Source organism: Homo sapiens, chromosome 3 (assembly GCF_000001405.40).
Source record: "Homo sapiens chromosome 3, GRCh38.p14 Primary Assembly".
Taxonomy (NCBI): domain Eukaryota; kingdom Metazoa; phylum Chordata; class Mammalia; order Primates; family Hominidae; genus Homo; species Homo sapiens.
The window spans coordinates 58,035,842-58,051,774 of NC_000003.12; the positions used below are offsets into that span (position 1 = coordinate 58,035,842).

The 15,933-nt window shown below is 45.7% G+C and overlaps 1 protein-coding gene across 4 annotated transcripts in view, besides 5 other annotated features; it reads left to right on the top strand.

The window, feature by feature from the left end:
• The window catches only part of FLNB (filamin B), a 163,830-nt gene that overhangs the window by 27,420 nt on the left and 120,477 nt on the right, over nucleotides 1-15,933 (top strand). The window lies entirely within an intron of this gene.
• Nucleotides 2,314-2,814: an enhancer, noted in NCBI's record as "H3K27ac hESC enhancer chr3:58023882-58024382 (GRCh37/hg19 assembly coordinates)". NCBI's record gives its function as "activates a minimal SCP1, AML or CMV promoter by ChIP-STARR-seq in primed H9 embryonic stem cells {active_cell/tissue: H9 hESC(primed)}" and the evidence as "EXISTENCE:reporter gene assay evidence [ECO:0000049][PMID:30033119]".
• Nucleotides 3,633-4,212: an enhancer, noted in NCBI's record as "OCT4-NANOG-H3K27ac-H3K4me1 hESC enhancer chr3:58025201-58025780 (GRCh37/hg19 assembly coordinates)". NCBI's record gives its function as "activates a minimal SCP1, AML or CMV promoter by ChIP-STARR-seq in naive and primed H9 embryonic stem cells {active_cell/tissue: H9 hESC(naive and primed)}" and the evidence as "EXISTENCE:reporter gene assay evidence [ECO:0000049][PMID:30033119]".
• Nucleotides 5,575-6,089: an enhancer, noted in NCBI's record as "OCT4-NANOG-H3K27ac-H3K4me1 hESC enhancer chr3:58027143-58027657 (GRCh37/hg19 assembly coordinates)". NCBI's record gives its function as "activates a minimal SCP1, AML or CMV promoter by ChIP-STARR-seq in naive H9 embryonic stem cells {active_cell/tissue: H9 hESC(naive)}" and the evidence as "EXISTENCE:reporter gene assay evidence [ECO:0000049][PMID:30033119]".
• Nucleotides 6,605-7,118: an enhancer, noted in NCBI's record as "H3K27ac-H3K4me1 hESC enhancer chr3:58028173-58028686 (GRCh37/hg19 assembly coordinates)". NCBI's record gives its function as "activates a minimal SCP1, AML or CMV promoter by ChIP-STARR-seq in primed H9 embryonic stem cells {active_cell/tissue: H9 hESC(primed)}" and the evidence as "EXISTENCE:reporter gene assay evidence [ECO:0000049][PMID:30033119]".
• Nucleotides 12,849-14,048: an enhancer, noted in NCBI's record as "BRD4-independent group 4 enhancer chr3:58034417-58035616 (GRCh37/hg19 assembly coordinates)". NCBI's record gives its function as "activates an origin of replication core promoter dependent on BRD2, P300/CBP, MED14 and CDK7 cofactors, and independent of BRD4, by STARR-seq in HCT116 cells {active_cell/tissue: HCT116}" and the evidence as "EXISTENCE:reporter gene assay evidence [ECO:0000049][PMID:35650434]".

Genomic DNA, 15,933 nt, shown 5'->3' on the forward strand with positions numbered 1-15,933 from the left:
TTTGGCTCAGTACAACATTCTCGGCCTGGGGCGGCAGCATGGGAAAGATTTTTATTGGAATTAACTTTCTACAGAGATGTACTTTCAAATGAGACCATCCTTCTCTCACTGGTGAGCTCACCCGGGCTCTTATTCCACAAAGCTTAATTGTTTTGGACCCATACATTTAAACTCCTTAATTAATTGACTCAAGACTTAGGACAGATTTGCTTTTCTTTATAATGACTCCATGGCTGTAAATGCTGCTGATTCAGATGAAAGAGGACCCTAGAGCACAGAATGAGAAGGACGTGGACTCAGGATACCTGTTTCTTTATTCTGACTGTGCTCTTCGTCAGCTCTGGGGCTTTGGACCCCAGTTTTGTAACCACCTAACGAGTTCACCTTGCCTGCTGCCTAGACGGAGCTGATTTATCAAGACAGAGGAATTGCAATGGAGAAAGAGTAAGTCACCCAGAGCCAGCTGTGTGGGAGGCTAGAATTTTATTGTTACTGAAATCAGTCTCCCGAGCATTTGGGATCAGAGTTTTTAAAGATAATTCGGCAGGTAGGGGCTCAGGAAGTGGGGAGTGCTGATTGGTCAAGTTGGAGATGGAGTCACAGGGGGTCGAAGTGACGTTTTCTTGCTGTCTTCTGTTCCTGGGTGGGATGGCAGAACTGGTTGAGCCAGATTACCGCTCTGGGAGGTGTCAGCTGATCCATGGAGTGCAGGGTCTGCAAACTATCTCAAGCACTGATGTTAAGTTTTACAGTAGTGATGTTATCTCCAGAAGCAATTTGTGGAGGTTCAGACTCTTGCAGTTTCTGACCCCTAAACCTTAATTTCTAATCTTGTAGCTAATTTGTTAGTCCTACAAAGGCAGACTGCTCCCAAGGCAAGAAGAGGGTCTTTTTGGGAAAGGGCTATTAGCAGTTTTTTTTCAGAGTGAAACCATAAACTAAATTCATTCCCAAGGTTAGTTTGGCCTATGCCCAGGAATGAACAAGGACAGCCTAAAGGTTAGAAGCAAGATGGAGTCGGTTAGGTCTGACCTCTTTCACTGTCTATAATTTTTGCAAAGGCAGTTTCAGTTTCTCACCTGTAAACGTTGAAGACTGAGCCAGAATCAGGGTCATCAAATAGCACCCCGGCTATACTTTCTTCTCTTCATGACAAACATTGCTGGTCAGTTGATATGATGTTCTTTCCCACTGGGCCCAGACTTGACATTAGAGTCTTTTTTTTTTTTTTTTTTTTTTTTTTGAGACAGTCTCGCTCTATCACCCTGGCTGGAGTGCAGTGGCACCATCTCAGCTCACTGCAACCTCCGTCTCCAGAGTTCAAGCAATTCTCCTGCCTCAGCCTCTCAGGTAGCTGGGATTACAGGAGTGCACCACCACACCCAGCAGATTTTTGTATTTTTAGTAGAGACGGGGTTTCGCCATGTTGGCCAGGCTTGTCTGGAACTCCTGACCTCAGGCCATCCGCTCGCTTTGGCCTCCCAAAGTGCTAGGATTATAGGCGTAAGCCACCACGCCTGGCCGACATCAGAGTCATTTTAGCCTGCAATGCAAGTTGTCCTCAGTGGGCTGCTAGCATTGGCTTCAACCTTCATATCAGCCAGCTAAAGCCCCTTGTAATGAATGGGGAGGTTCCTTCACCCTTGCCTCCCGCTGCCTCCTCTTGACCACTCATTTTTTTTCTTGTAGTTCAGGAACCAATTCAGATGATTTCCCTCGTGAAGTCCTCTCGAAAGCCCCCAGGTAGAATTATTCATTTTTTCCCTTGCATTCCCACAGCACTGTGCACACAAATTAGAATCCTTGTAAAATGGCCATGATTCTGTTTATGACCCTGGCCCTCCACCAGACCAGCCTCTCTGCCCTCTGGCTTTTTTAGATCACTGGCATGGTTTCTGCCTACTCCAGGTGCCAGTATTATTTTGTGAATGTTTTTTTTCTTCATATCTACTCATCTTTATACTACTTTACTCGTAAAAGGAAACTAGAGAACATGATCTTAAATGAAAACCACGATCACTTGCCAGAAAGAACAGGTAACTAGGCTTTGAAAAAATAAGTTAGAGGAGATAGCATAAGAAAAAATTAAAAAATAAATAAAATCAATGAAAACAACGTGTTACTAAATTCTTGAAAAGTTTTTTGAAGACTTTGAGCCTGAGGCCTGTTCTTATTGTTTGTTTGTTTGTTTGTTTGTTTGTTTTTATGACAGAGTTTCGCTCTTGTTGCCCAGGCTAGAGTGCAATGGCATGATCTCGGCTCATTGCAGCATTTGCCTCCTGTGTTCAAGCGATTCTCCTGCCTCAGCCTCCCGAGTAGCTGGGATTACAGGTGCCCGCCACCATGCCCAGCTAATTTTTGTATTTTAGTAGAGATGGGTTTTTGCCATGTTGGCCAGGCTGGTCTCGAACTCCTGACCTCAGGTGATCCACCTGCCTTGGCCTCCCAAAGTGTGGGGATTACAGGCGTGAGCCACCATGCTCGGCCTGTTCTTATTGTTAAAAAGAGAGATTTGTGTGAAAGCTGCTGACGTCTTTTTGGCACCAAGTCAAGACTGAGTTAGTTCTTGTCAGAATCTGATTGTTTGTGAATTGATGGCTTTTTTTTTTTTCCTGAGTTGGGGGTCTCGCTCTGTTGCCCAGGCTGGAGTACGACCACTATAACCTCAAATTGCTGGGCTCAAGCAATCCTTCCGCCTCAGCTGCCCAAGTAGCTGGGACTACTAGGCATGCTCCACCATGCCCAGTTAATTAATTTTTTTTTTTTTTTGAGAGACAGGGTCTCACTATGTTCCCCAGGCTGGTCTCAAATTCCTGGCCTCAAGTGATCTCCTGCCTCAGCCTCCCAAAGCTCTGGGATTACAGGAGCGAGCCACTGTGCCTGGCCGGATTTTAAAGTTCTGCCCATGCACCTCCTTAGCTCTGGCAGTTACTACTTGCAGGCATCTCCTTTGTCTGCCCTGCCCCTTGTTAGGAAAGGCTGTGCTGACTGTCAGCTGGCACCCAGTGCATAGAAGAGATAGTTCTCTGTAGATGATGTTGAACAATGTGGTACTATAATCCCAACCTGTTGTATCTTTGTTTACTCTCAAAAGCAACAATTGGGCTGGGCATGGTGGCTCATGCCTGTAATCGCAGCACTTTGGGAGGCTAAGGTGGGAGGGTTGCTTGAAGTTAGTTCCTTTTTTTTTTTTTTTTTAAAAAAAAGACAAGATCTCGCTCTGTCACCCCGGCTGGAATGCAGTGGCATGATCATAGCTCACTGCAGCCTTGACCACGTGGGCTCAAGGAATGAACCATTGTGCCAGGAGTTCAACACCAGCCTGGATAACATAGCGAGACCCTGTCTCTACAGGAAAAAAAAAAAAAAAGAAGAATTGCATAAGTATCATCAGAACTGTTGAATGGAAAATCAGACTTTGTGGGTTTGGTTTGTTAATTACTTCTCGTTGGATTAGAATTTGATAGGTAAAAAAAAAAAAAAAGGTGTAGAAAAGTGATTCCAGTCTTGAGCAAATTTTTAATGGAAAACGGTGTCTTGGTTCTCTGTTCACTACAACTTGTATCTAAGGGAAAGCCTAGTGATGCAGACATTTCATTTCGTGATGGGAAAACTGATGCCCAGAGGTTCACAGCTGACCAGGGGCTAGTCTGACTGGGGGGATCTAGGTCACCACCCCCCTTGCCTTGTTTTCCCAGCTAGTGCATTTCCTACTAGACTTGACTCTACTGTAATTCAAGTTGCTGAGTAGCAAACAAGAACTACAATGACTAGAAGGAACAGAACTAGCTTTTTTGTGCTCTGAAAGTGGAAACTTATTGAGGGTTCTTTTCCTCCCAGAGAATGCAGAAGTGCCCTGATTTGCTTTTGGAAGGACACCATTCACTTTATTGCCTCTTTTCATTGTTGCCCAGAATATCACCATGATTTATTCATGGGTGGTGGGGAGGGTAGCACTAGTGTATGCTCCCAGCAAAGAGGAACATCTCACGTTGTGAAGAGATGCGCAAAACTAAGCCAGGGCAGGGTGTGGTGGCTCATGCCTGTAATCCCAGCACTTTGGGAAGCTGAGGTGGGCAGATCACCTGAGGTCAAGAGTTGAAGACCACCCTGGCCAACATGGTGAAACTCTGTCTGTACTAAAAATACAAAAATTAGCTGGGTCTGATTGCAGGTGCCTCTAATTGCAGCTACTTGGGAGGCTGAGGCAGGAGAATTTCTTGAACCTGGGAGGCAGAGGTTGCAGTGAGCTGAGACTGTGCCGTTGTACTCTAGCCTGGGCAACAAGAGCCATCTCAAAAAAAGAAGCAAGCCAGATCTTTGGGGTGCTGTGACGGCAAATCCCCCAGCGCTGGCCTCTCAGGTTCTCTTGCGGGATTAGTGTTTGTTGAATAATAAGCAATACACCCTGACCCAGCGAGCCAAAGCAAACAGGACAGTAACTGAAACTGCAGGGGAGTGTGAGTAAACAGTTACCTTCTACCCTCATGGAGCTGGCCTCTGGCCAGCAACATGATAGCTGTTTGCATCTTACTCTTATGGAGCCATTGGCCCTCTCATTAAGGTGGGGGCAGCTTCTGGTCCATGCCTGCAAGTCCTCATGGGAGTGGGTACCTGACAGGGTGTAAAGGGTAGGTCTGAGGACATGGTTTCTTTTTTTTATTGTTGTTGAGATGGAATCCTGCTCTTGTCACACAGTCTGGAGTGCAGTGGCCTGATCTCGGCTCACTGCAACCTCCGTCTCACTGGTTCAAGCGATTCTCCTGCCTAAGCCTCCTGAGTAGCTGGGACTATAGGCGCATCCTGCCATGCCTGGCTAAGTTTTGTATTTTTAGTAGAGACGGGGTTTCACCACGTTGGCCAGGCTGGTCTCGAACTCCTGACCTCAGGTGATCCACCCACCTCAGCCTCCCAAAGTGCTGGGATTACAGGCGTGAGCCACCGTCCCCAGCCAACATGGTTTCTTTAAAATATACTCCCCGCTCCATCCCATTCATGTGTGGGAGTTGAGCTGCATCTGGGTTTTTCTTTTCTCTTTTTCTGTAAATCTTTATTGTATTTTTTTTGGATCATAGAATGGATACATGTTTCTTAAAGTTTGATCATTATAGAAACTTAATTAGACTATTATTTGAGTGCTAACCATAGTGAGTGAGTGCTTACTGTGTGCTAGGTGGCTTTTTATGCCTCATGTCACTTACATGAGGTCTGAGGAACGGTGTTAATCCCGTTTTGCAGCTGAGGAAACTGAGGCTACATTTACGGTCACCTAGCTGGCAAGCAAGTGGCTGAGCCTGGAGCAGCAGCAGATCTGGGGAACTCCACAAACCAGATTTCTGTGTGGTATCCCTGTGGACACAAGGATTTAACTTGATTCTTTTTGCTTTCAGTATCACTTTATGATATTACAATGAGCTTGCAGTATTTATTTTCAGAAGAAAAGCCAGATTATTCCCATTTATGAGAGAAGCAGCCAGGTGGGCAGGGATTTCCAGCGCTGAACCAGCCAGTGTGTGCATTGTCTCTTCCCGCTGAGCGGCCCTGGTGTGCTGGGTTAGTCTGTGAGCCACAGGAAATGTTGTCAGGGCCTCTGGGCTTTTGGATGTCAGCAGGCCTTCAGTGGTGAGGAGGTTGTGGCTGGACTCAGAGGACTCCTTGCTTTTGCTGAACGACCCTCCCCACCAACCACCACCACCACCACCAGTGGGACTAGCCCATGAGCTGTAAGCCAACCTTTTCCTTCCTAACTTAATTTTCCAAAGAATAGTAACTTACCCACCACCACTGCAGTCACTGGGCCGGGAAGACAAGCACTCTTGCCTTGAATCCATGCCTTGAGCCAGTAGCCTTGACCCAGGGTAAAGCAGTTATGTGCTTGGGTCACCTGGGTCATGTTTTTGAAATTGCCTCAAGCCTACCTTACAAATCCTTCCTGGAACCCTGCTTGGCTTTTCTTTGTGGGCTTCCCTTAGGAGGGAAGCTTCCCGAGCAGCTTGTCTTGACTGTAGCCAGCTGGGTGGTCCCAGCCACAGAATTTAACTGTCAAACAGCACCAGAAGGGTTCCTCATCCAGCTGTCTTGCCCCAAGTGCCCTCTTTGCTTTCTTTTTAGAGAGTTCTGAGACTCATTAGAGAGTTTAGAGATTTTAGCATTCTTGAAGTTCTTTCTGTGGTCAGTTTGGTGAACCACTTCATTTCTAAAGTTTCTCAGTTGACCCCATTCTTCCCCAGCTTTGCATTCTCCATGAAGCCACCTGTGTTTGGTGTGTATGGGTTTTCTGCAACCTAGGTTGAACAAGTCCTCTAGAATCCTGAACAATTGGTGATTCATGCTGGCCTGGTTTTTCTAATTGGCCTGGAAATGTGGCTGTAGTGGACACAAGTGGACTTGGCCTCCTCTTTGATGCGGGTAAACTTTAGATTTGCATTAGCTCTGTTTGATTAGAGGATCTTACTGGTTTTTGTTGTTATTTATTTACCTTTTAGGAGCTTTAGTCTCTGTAGGTTTTTTTTTTTTTTTTTTTAAAGTCCGGGTCTTACTCTGTCACCCAGGCTAGGGTGCAGTGGCATGATCACAGCTCACTGCAGCCCCCACCTTCCTGGGCTCAGGTGATCCTGCCACCTTAGTTTCCTGAGTAGCTGGGACTACAGGCATGTGCCACCATGCCCAGCAAATTTATTTCTACTTTTTGAAAACAGGGTCTCACTTTGTCACCCAGGCCAGAATGCAGTAGCACGATCATGGCTCACTGCAGTCTCAACCTCCCAGGCTTAAGGGATTCTCCCACCTCAGCCTCCCAAGTAGCTGGGAGGCTACTTGGCATGCATCACAAGGCCCAGCTAATTTGTGTTTTTTCTTGTAGAGGCGGGGTTTTGCCATGTTGCCCAGGCTGGTCTCGAACTCCTGGGGTCAAGTTATACTCTCTCCTTTGCCTCCAGCCATGAGCCGTTCGTTGCGCCTGGGCTAGTCATTATAGATTTATCCCTTCTTTCATCTCATGCTACAAAAGCAGTTCTTGTATTTTTACCCGACTTGTGATTTTCTACTGGGAATGTTTGTTTGTGATGGTTAGCAGGGTGCTGAGAGGGAATTAATCCCAGGAGGCCCAATATTGGGCCATGTCGTGCTGTTGAGCACAGTCATTTGACACCTATAACTTCTCATCAATTCTTCTGATAGACTGAGGAGGAATTGGGAAATTTCCTAGAGTTTTGTCTGCATTATTGGGTTGTTTTGAGAACATAAACCTTAAACTCTAGCTATGTAAACTGGATAAGTCATTTTGGTAATTTGGCATTCCTTTTTTTTTTTTTTTTTTTTTTTGAGACAGAGTTTCACTCTGTTGCCCGGGGGAATGATCTCTGCTCACTGCAACCTCTGCCTCCCAGGTTCAAGCAATTCTTCTGCCTCAGCCTCCCAAGTAGTTGGGACTACAGGCACACTCCACCGTGTCCGGCTAATTTTTGTATTTTTAATAGAGACAGGATTTCATCATGTTGACCAGGCTGGTAATTTGGCATTCTTTTGAGTACAAGTGAGAGAAACTCACTTGAGCTGGCTTAAGTGAAAAAATTCTTTGTCAGGAGAGTTTTGTGAATTTCTGTTTAGTGGCAAGTTGTAGAAACCACTTGAAACTGCTTAAAGGCAAAAGAGGGAGCCACTTGTCCCAGTAACTGAGACATCCCAGAGCCGACTGCCCCCAAGCATTACTTGGTCCCAAGTTTCAAACGGGTCTTCAGGGTTTGATCTCTCTCCTCATCTCCAGTCTGCTTCATTCATTTTGGCTCTATGTGGTGGCAGAAGGGCTTCTGGCATCTCTGGACCTTTATGCCTCCCAGGTCCAAACCCAGCCAGAAAGGAGAGTGAGAGTGCTGAGTGCAAAACTCTCCTATAGCTCCTATACAAGTCCAGGATTTGCTATTAGACTCCTTGAATTATGTGCCCAGCTCTGAGCCAATGGCTGTGCTTAGGAGGCTCCTGTCTCATGCACCCACCCCAGTACTGGGCATCAGAAACAACCAGTGATCCCTATAATGAACCACGGGTTCACAGACTTAAGTGTAATCCTGCAGCAGGGCCTCAGGAAGACTTGAAACCCAAAATCAGAAAGCCATGGTTTCTTGTCTTCCTGGTGTCTGTTTTGTCCCTTCCCTCTGTAGAGGAGTCCTGCTATCACTGCAGGCAACGGGGCTGCCCTGCAGCTCCTGCTGTTTACATTTCACTCGGTGTAGCCATAGGCAGAGACCTCAGGGAGAACCTGATTCGGCTTGGATTGAGTCAGGTTCCACCCCAGTCCAGTCAGTTGTGGACTGAGAGGTGATGAGGCTGGGCCCTTTAAGACAAATCTGGGTGGGTGGAGTCTGTGCTTAATGAAGTTGTGATGTTAGCTGATGGCCCAGAAGGGACTGGTAGGTGCCTCTCATTGTCTGGTTGGGAAGCATTCTCTTAAGTCCAAGATGATGATAAATAGTATTAGGCCAGGTGCCGTGTCATGCCTCTATACCCAGCACTTTGAGAGGCCAAGGTGGGAGGATCGCTTGAGCCCAGAAGTTCAAAGCCAGAGTGGGCAACATAAAGAGACCCTGTCTCTACAAAAAACAAACAAACAAACAAACCAAAAAAACCCCACAACAATTAGCCAGGCATGATGGCGCACACCAGTAGTCCCAGCTACTCAGGAGGCTGAGGTGGGAGGATTGCTTGAGCCTGGCGGGTCGAGGTTGCAGCAAGCTGTGATCACACCTCTGCGCTCCAGCCTGGGTGACAGAGTGAGACCCTGTCTCAAAAAGTAAAAAATTCAAATAAATAAACAAATAATATCAAGGGCCTCTCTCCCAAGCTAGGAAGATATCAGCTGAAGCTCTAGCCCAGCTACGTGGATGGCTGCTTCCTGCCTGGAAGCGATGCCCAGATCAGCACCTTGGGACCCCCCTGAACTTGCCTCTGCTCCAGTGTGGGCCCTTCCTTCCTGCAGAGGAGACAGCACTGTCTGAGAGGCATGAATGAGAATTTCCTCCTTCTAGGCCCAAGTCAGCATGACTCGAGGATGGCTTTGACTGGAAAAACTGAATCAAAGAGTGTGCTACAGCCAAGGATTTCCCCAAACACTAATCAGTGCTGATTACTTCCAGGGTATTGCCTTTGGCTCTGTGGAGTTTTGTCCACTGTGGCTGCAATGTCTGGCTTCTGCTGCCCAGAAGATGAGAAATGAGTTTGTAGGGATGAGCCTGGGTGAAGGGATGTGCCCCCTCACCATCCTGACCTCTATTAGGTGTAAAAGACCCTGATTGCCAAATTCATAGGTCATGGGTTGGCTCTGCCTCCAGCATTAACACTTGGGGGTGGAGTTGGGGAATCATAGTATTACTTGCATAAATGGAATCCTAAAAGTTTGTTGGGACAGTTTCATAAAAATCCTCACCATGATCAGTTTGAAAATGACGTTCCCTTCACATGTTTGTCTTCTGAACTGAGTTGCAATGCTGAGTATGAGTTTGAGAGTCCCAAGACCATCTAAAGCAAGCCTGTCCAACCCACAGACTGCAGGCTGTAGGCAGCCCAGGACAGCTCTGAATGCGCCCCAACACAAATTCGTAAACTTTCTTAAAACATTATGAGATCCTTTCGCATTTGTTTTTTAAAGCTCATCAGCTATCATTAGTGTTAGTGTATCTTATGTGGCCAAGACAATTCTTCTTCTTCCAGTGTGGCCCAGGGAAGCCAAGAGATTGGACACCCCCGATTTAAAGGAAGTAACTCAATTTTGTGAACCTGAAACTTGATCTTGGATGAACCAAATGAAATTTTATGATTCTCTTAAGCTCACGAAAGTTCAATAACTGTGCTGTGTAAAATAGAGGTAAAAGACTTGAGTTGGACCAGGAATGGTTGCTCATGCCTGTAATCCCAGCACTCTGGGAGGCTGAGGCGGGTGCATCACTTGAAGTCAGGAGTTCAAGACCAGCCCGGCCAACATGGTGAAACCCTGTTTCTACTAAAAATATAAAAATTAGCCGGGCGTGGTAGTGTACGCCTGTAGTCTTAGCTTCTTGGGAGGCTGAGGCAGGATAATCCCTTGAACCCAGGAGGTGGAGGTTGCAGTGAGCAAGATCATACCACTGCACTACAGCCTGGGCTACAGAGCGAGACTCCGTCTCCAAAAAAAAAAAAAAAAAAAAAAAAAGACTTGAGTTGGTTCTAATAGAATACCTTGGAGAACCTCAAGATGCCTTCTGGTCCAGCCAGGTTTACAGATTGGAAGATATTCTGTTAATCAGAATCTCAGAGAGGGACAGGCCCTGATCAAGGTAACACAGTGAGTTGTGGTAGCTGGGCTGGGCTAGAACCTGGGCCTCCTTGGTTCCAGGTCACAGGGACCAAGGGATTTGGCTTGTCTTAGTCCTACTTGTAACTACAATACTGCCTTCTGCTAGGAAGAATAAGAGCTTGCAGGCTAGAGGAATTTATAGGAATTTTCTTTCTTTAAAAAAATCCCCCCAAAACCAGCTTTACTGAGATATAACTCACACACCATAAAATTCACCCTTTTAAAGTATGCAATTTTTAGTATATTCACAGAATTATGCAACTATCATCACTATAATTTTAGAATTGTTTTTTTTTTTTTGGAGACGGAGTCTTACTCTTGCCCAGGCTGGAGTGCAGTGGTGCAGTCTTGGCTCACTGCAACCTCCATCTCCCAGGTTCAAGCGATTCTCCTTCCTCAGCCTTCCGAGTAGCTGGGATTATAGGTGCATGCCACCACACCCAACTAATTTTTGTATTTTTAGTAGACATGGGGTTTCACCATTTTGGTCAGGCTGGTCTCAAACTCCGCCTGCCTTGGCCTCCCAAAGTGTTGGGATTACAGGTGTGAGCCACTGTGCCTGGCCAATTTTAGAATATTTTTATTGCCTCAGAAGAACCCCTGTATCCATTAGCAGTCACTCTCCCTTTCCCTTCCCCAACCAGGCCCAATAAACCACTAATCTACTCTGTCTCTATGGATCTGTCCATTCAGAACATTTCATATGGTAAAATCATACACGTGTTCTGGTGTTACTGACTTCTTTCACTTAGCAGAATGTTTTCAAGGTTCAGCCATGTTATGTCTGTACTTTATTCTTTTTTACGGCCAAGTGTTGGAATGTGTAGGATTTGAATTTTCAAATAAAGCTTTAAAGTTTTCAGATTTATTTTTACTTTGCCTGGTGTGTTTTTTCCTGGAAAGCCAACTTCTACATTTGGAGATTAAAAGACAAACTTTCTCAAACTCCCTGTACCTAAGTGGTTGCTGCTTTTCTTAAATGTTTTGACACCAAAGAGAAAAATTGGTTTCTGGAAGAAAGTGTGTTTTCTTTTATTGCCAAGAAAATTAGTGCATGTTAATTAATATAGATGCTCAGGACCCAGAGTTGTAATGAACTTTTTTCTTATATTTATTTTCTAGATGTTTGACTTATTTTAACAGTTTTCATTTTAGCAATAATGTTTCCTTCCCACTCCCAAATTTATTGGAAACCCTCAATCAACCCTATTTATTTATTTATTTTAGAGATGGGATCTCACTATGTTGTCCAGGCTGGTCTGGAAACCCTCACTCTTATAGATAGTATGAAAGAAGATTATAGCCAACTCTTATATAACCTTCCCCAGAGCCTCCAATTGTTAATGTTTTGCCATATTTGCTTGCTCTATCACTTGCTCTAAAGATGCATATCACACACTTTTTTTTTTTTTAATTTATTTTTGAGACAGAGTCTGGCTCTGTCGCCCAGGCTGTAGTGCAGTGGCATGATCTTGGCTTACTGCATCCTCTGCCTCCTGGGTTCAAGCGATTCTCCTGCCTTAGTCTCCTGAGTAGCTGGGATTACAGGCACGGGCCACCATGCCCAGCTAATTTTTGTATTTTTAGTAGAGATGGGGTTGGCCAAGCTGGTCGTGAACTATTGACCTCAAGTGATCCTCCTGCCTCAGCCTCCCAAAGTGCTAGGATTACAGGAGTGAGCCACCATGCCTGGCCACATGCGTGTTTTTTATTGAATCATTTGAAAGTACTCAGCTCGTATCATGACCCTTCACCCCCACATACTCCAACAAGCATCTCTAAGAAAAAGGACATTCTCCTAACCACAGTGTCTCTGCATTCCCAGGACATTCTTCTAACCACAGCGTCACTGCATACCCAAGAGGTTAGCACCGATACAGTAATAACATCTTGTGTAAAACTTCCCAAAATGCTCCCAAGTGTCCTTTATGACAGTTTAAAAAAAAATGGCATTTTTTGGGATCCAGGAACCAATTAACGATTACTCAATTGAATTTGGTTTCAAAGTCACATACCTCAACTTTTCCTTTAATCAAGAACAGCCCCCCTGCCTTTTACACATTTTTTTGTCTTTCGTGACCGTGTCATTTTTGAAGAAATCAGGCCCGTTGTCTTGTAGAACTGGTGTTTCTCAAGTGTGCTTGGGAGGGTCTTGGTAAAATGCACATTCTGATTCTGGAGAACAGGGTGGAGCCTGGGAATCTGCATTTCCAGCCAGCATCCCGGTGATGCCAGTGCAGCTGGTCTTCGGCTGTAGAATGTTCCACATTCTAGGTCTGTCTGTTTCCTTGTGATTAAATTCAAGTTGAATATTTTTGGCTAGGGCACTTCCTGAGGTCATAGGTACTTCCCACTGCCTCACAGCACAGGCTCACAATCTCAGTTTGTCCTGTTACTTCGTGGTGCTAAGTGTGGTCACCTGCTTCAAGTGGTGTCCGCCTGCTCTCTGTTGAAACAATACCTTTCTCCTAGTATAATGATTAGGTAACCTGTGATTGTAATTGGTAAGTAATCTTTGAGACTACATGAATATCCTGTTCCCCAGCAGTTTTCACTCATTGGTGAACTGTTTTGGGAAAAATAATAGCATCTTACAGTTATAATACCCTGCTGGTAACACATGGCTCTTACATAATCAGCAGTTAATTGTTTGTATGTGTGTTAATTTTTATTTTTAAAATGTAACTAGTGACTGGTAACTCTCATTTGTATTTTAAACATTGGCTTTTACAGCTTCTCAGTACATTTCACTCTGTGTATGTTTTTGGTAGAGCATTTGTTGTCCTGTATAATGGTTTAGGAAATCCTATAGGCCAAATGAAGGGCTGGAGACTCACCTGTGTTCCCACCACTGTGTTTCACTGTGTATTGCCAGAGAAAATACAGTTAAATTTGAATTTCAGATAGACAATGAATAACTTTTTAGTATAAGTATGTTCCAAGTGTGGCAGACAGCTCTCACAAGTTACAAGTCGTTGCGTAGGACATACCTATGCTAAACGATTTGATGTTTATCTAAATTAATATGTAACTGATATCTTGTATTTTTATTTGTACGATCTTCCAAGCCCACGTCCCACCGCCTTCTCGGGGATGGCCACCATTTGTGTTTGCTGCCTGGTGGTGTTTGCAGCTGCGAGAAGGGCCTTGGAGGAGGAGCAAAGTGTAGTGGTATCTCCGTGCTGTGGCCTTGGGCACTGGGGTGGGGGTTAGATGAGTAATTAGCTGAATATGACCTCACCCATGAAGAATGTGCCCTTGCTAGGTATTAGCAGAGGTTTAGGCTCCAGGGAGCCATTGTCAGAAGCTTGTCAGTGATGTCATCAGCTGGAAGGGCCAGCTTTCAGGCCTCAGGAAAAAGCTTGAAAGTCAGGGCTCCAGTTTTGGTAATAAATGGGAATGGAGTTTCACAGGTAGGGTGTGGAGGAATTTATTGTGACAGGAAGCCTGATGGAGCCTCTTGCCTGTGTGCAGCCCCCAGCCAGGTTTCTGAGTTCTGATGAACTACCAGAAACTTCCACCACGGCCTGTGATTACACTGTTGGCCCAATGCCCTGGAAAAATTGGCTTGCTCTCGGGGAACACTCCAGGAGCTGCAAAGGGGGTGTCAGGACTGTTGTGCAGCTCCCCTTAAATTGGGGAGGAGGGGTGGCTGATGTGGAAACTGTTCATTAGACTGCTCAGGGTAGTGTGAGAAAACGTGTAATCTGTGGGCATCTACCCCTAGCTGCCCCTCTGATCTCACCCACTACTGTGGGAGGACCCCGTGGATGGGGGCAGAGGAGGGTCTTCTGGATTTAGACACTCACAAAACTTCCTTTTACCTTGTTCATTGGAAGAAATAGAAAATGCCTTTTTTTTTTTTTTTTTCTTTTTTTTTGAGACAGAGTCTCGCTCTGTTGACAGGCTGGAGTGCAGTGGCATGATCTTGGCTCACCGCAACCTCTGCCTCCCGGGTTCTAACAATTCTCCTGCCTCAGCCTCTGGAGTAGCTGGGACTACAGCCACGTGCCACCACACCCAGCTAATTTTTGTATTTTTAGTACAGACGGGGTTTCACCATGTTGGCCAGGACGGTCTTGAGCTCTTGACCTCGTTATCCACCCGCCTCGGCCTCCCAAAGTGCTGGGATTACAGGCGTGAGCCACCATGCCTGGTCTCTTTTTCATTTTTAAAGGGTAATTTGCTGTGCAGGAGTGGGCTCTCAGACCAGAAGTGGGGACCTGAATGAAATCAAGGACTGAGTATGGTAACTACAGCCATTTAATTTTATTTGAAGTCTCCCGTAAAATGTTCTGGAAAAAACAGGGGTTCCAGGGCTGGGTGGGCAGTTTCAATCATGGACTGGATTTTGTGGTTCAGATTTCTCTGGGCCTGTTGGAGGTTCCCCTTAAGCAATTACCCAAGGCAGTTCTGCCCAGCTGAAGTACTGATTACCTGCACACTATACCAGTGAGGACTCATGGGTGAGCAGATGGGAGGCACTGAGCTTGATTCTGAAACCCTGGCCTCCATCCCACCTGACATTCAATGTCAGATTAGAATTTGGAAGACCCTAAGTCTCCAGATTGGTGCACTGGGTAGCTCCTGAAATGGGGTGGCTGAGACAGGTCCTCTGTGCCCCCTTCCACAGCTTCCTCTGGGGCCCTTCTGCTCACTGGCATGTGCTTCTGGGCAAATAGGCCTCTCCCAGCATTTGTTTTGGCTCTGTGAAATGGGGTAATATTTGTTCCTATTGCGGGTGAAGCGCTGCTGTTGGGATGCTCAGGTAACTCACTCCGTGGGTAGCTGATATTGCCTGGGCAAGTGGCATTTTAGAGGAAATCTGTGCCATCAAAAGAGTTGGACCTGATCACACTTTTGCTTTTGAATATGCTTTGTCCCAGCCTGGCCATTCGTCACTTGGGACCCCCTGAGTCTCTCTGACCCCACTGTAAAATGGATATGCCATGGAGTTGTCCCAGGAATCAAGGGCAGGTCCTCTCCAGTGAGTGATGGGCTTGCCTCTCACTTCTCTAACACCCTTCTGCTTCCTTGTGTAAGATTTCACTATTAGTGGCTATTCTCTTTTACAGAAGAAAAAGGGAGACGCATGCCTCTTCCAGTTCACTGTTCACCATTGCAGCATATTTATTCCAAGGGACTGGCCGAATCATCCCTTTCTTTGTTAGAATGTGGTTTTGTTGCCTTGAGACAAGTGGCCCGCATGTCTGCACTGAAGGAGGCTTTGCGCAATAGCCTTGGGCACCTCCGGTTCTGCAAGCATGTACAGTACTTGCTCTCCTTTCCCTTTCTTTGTATACTTTTTCTGGTCTGCTACGTGTCCATCTGCATGTGGATAAAGGGTCGTCGTCTTGAGTAGTGATTTTGCTGTGATGTGATTCCTGTGAGGTCTAGTTGCACACAGTGATTCCGAAGGTAGACCCAGCTGGAAAGCTTTTAAATTGCTGATACTCCAGCCCCACTCCCCAAGAGATGCTGATTTTGTTTTGTTTTGGGGAGGGCAGTTTTTTTGGGTTTTTTTTTTAAGCTTTTTGATGTGTAGCCAGGGTTGAGACTGAAGTGATTTTTGTGAGTAACGGAGAAGTGTTAAGGCTTGAGAAGTT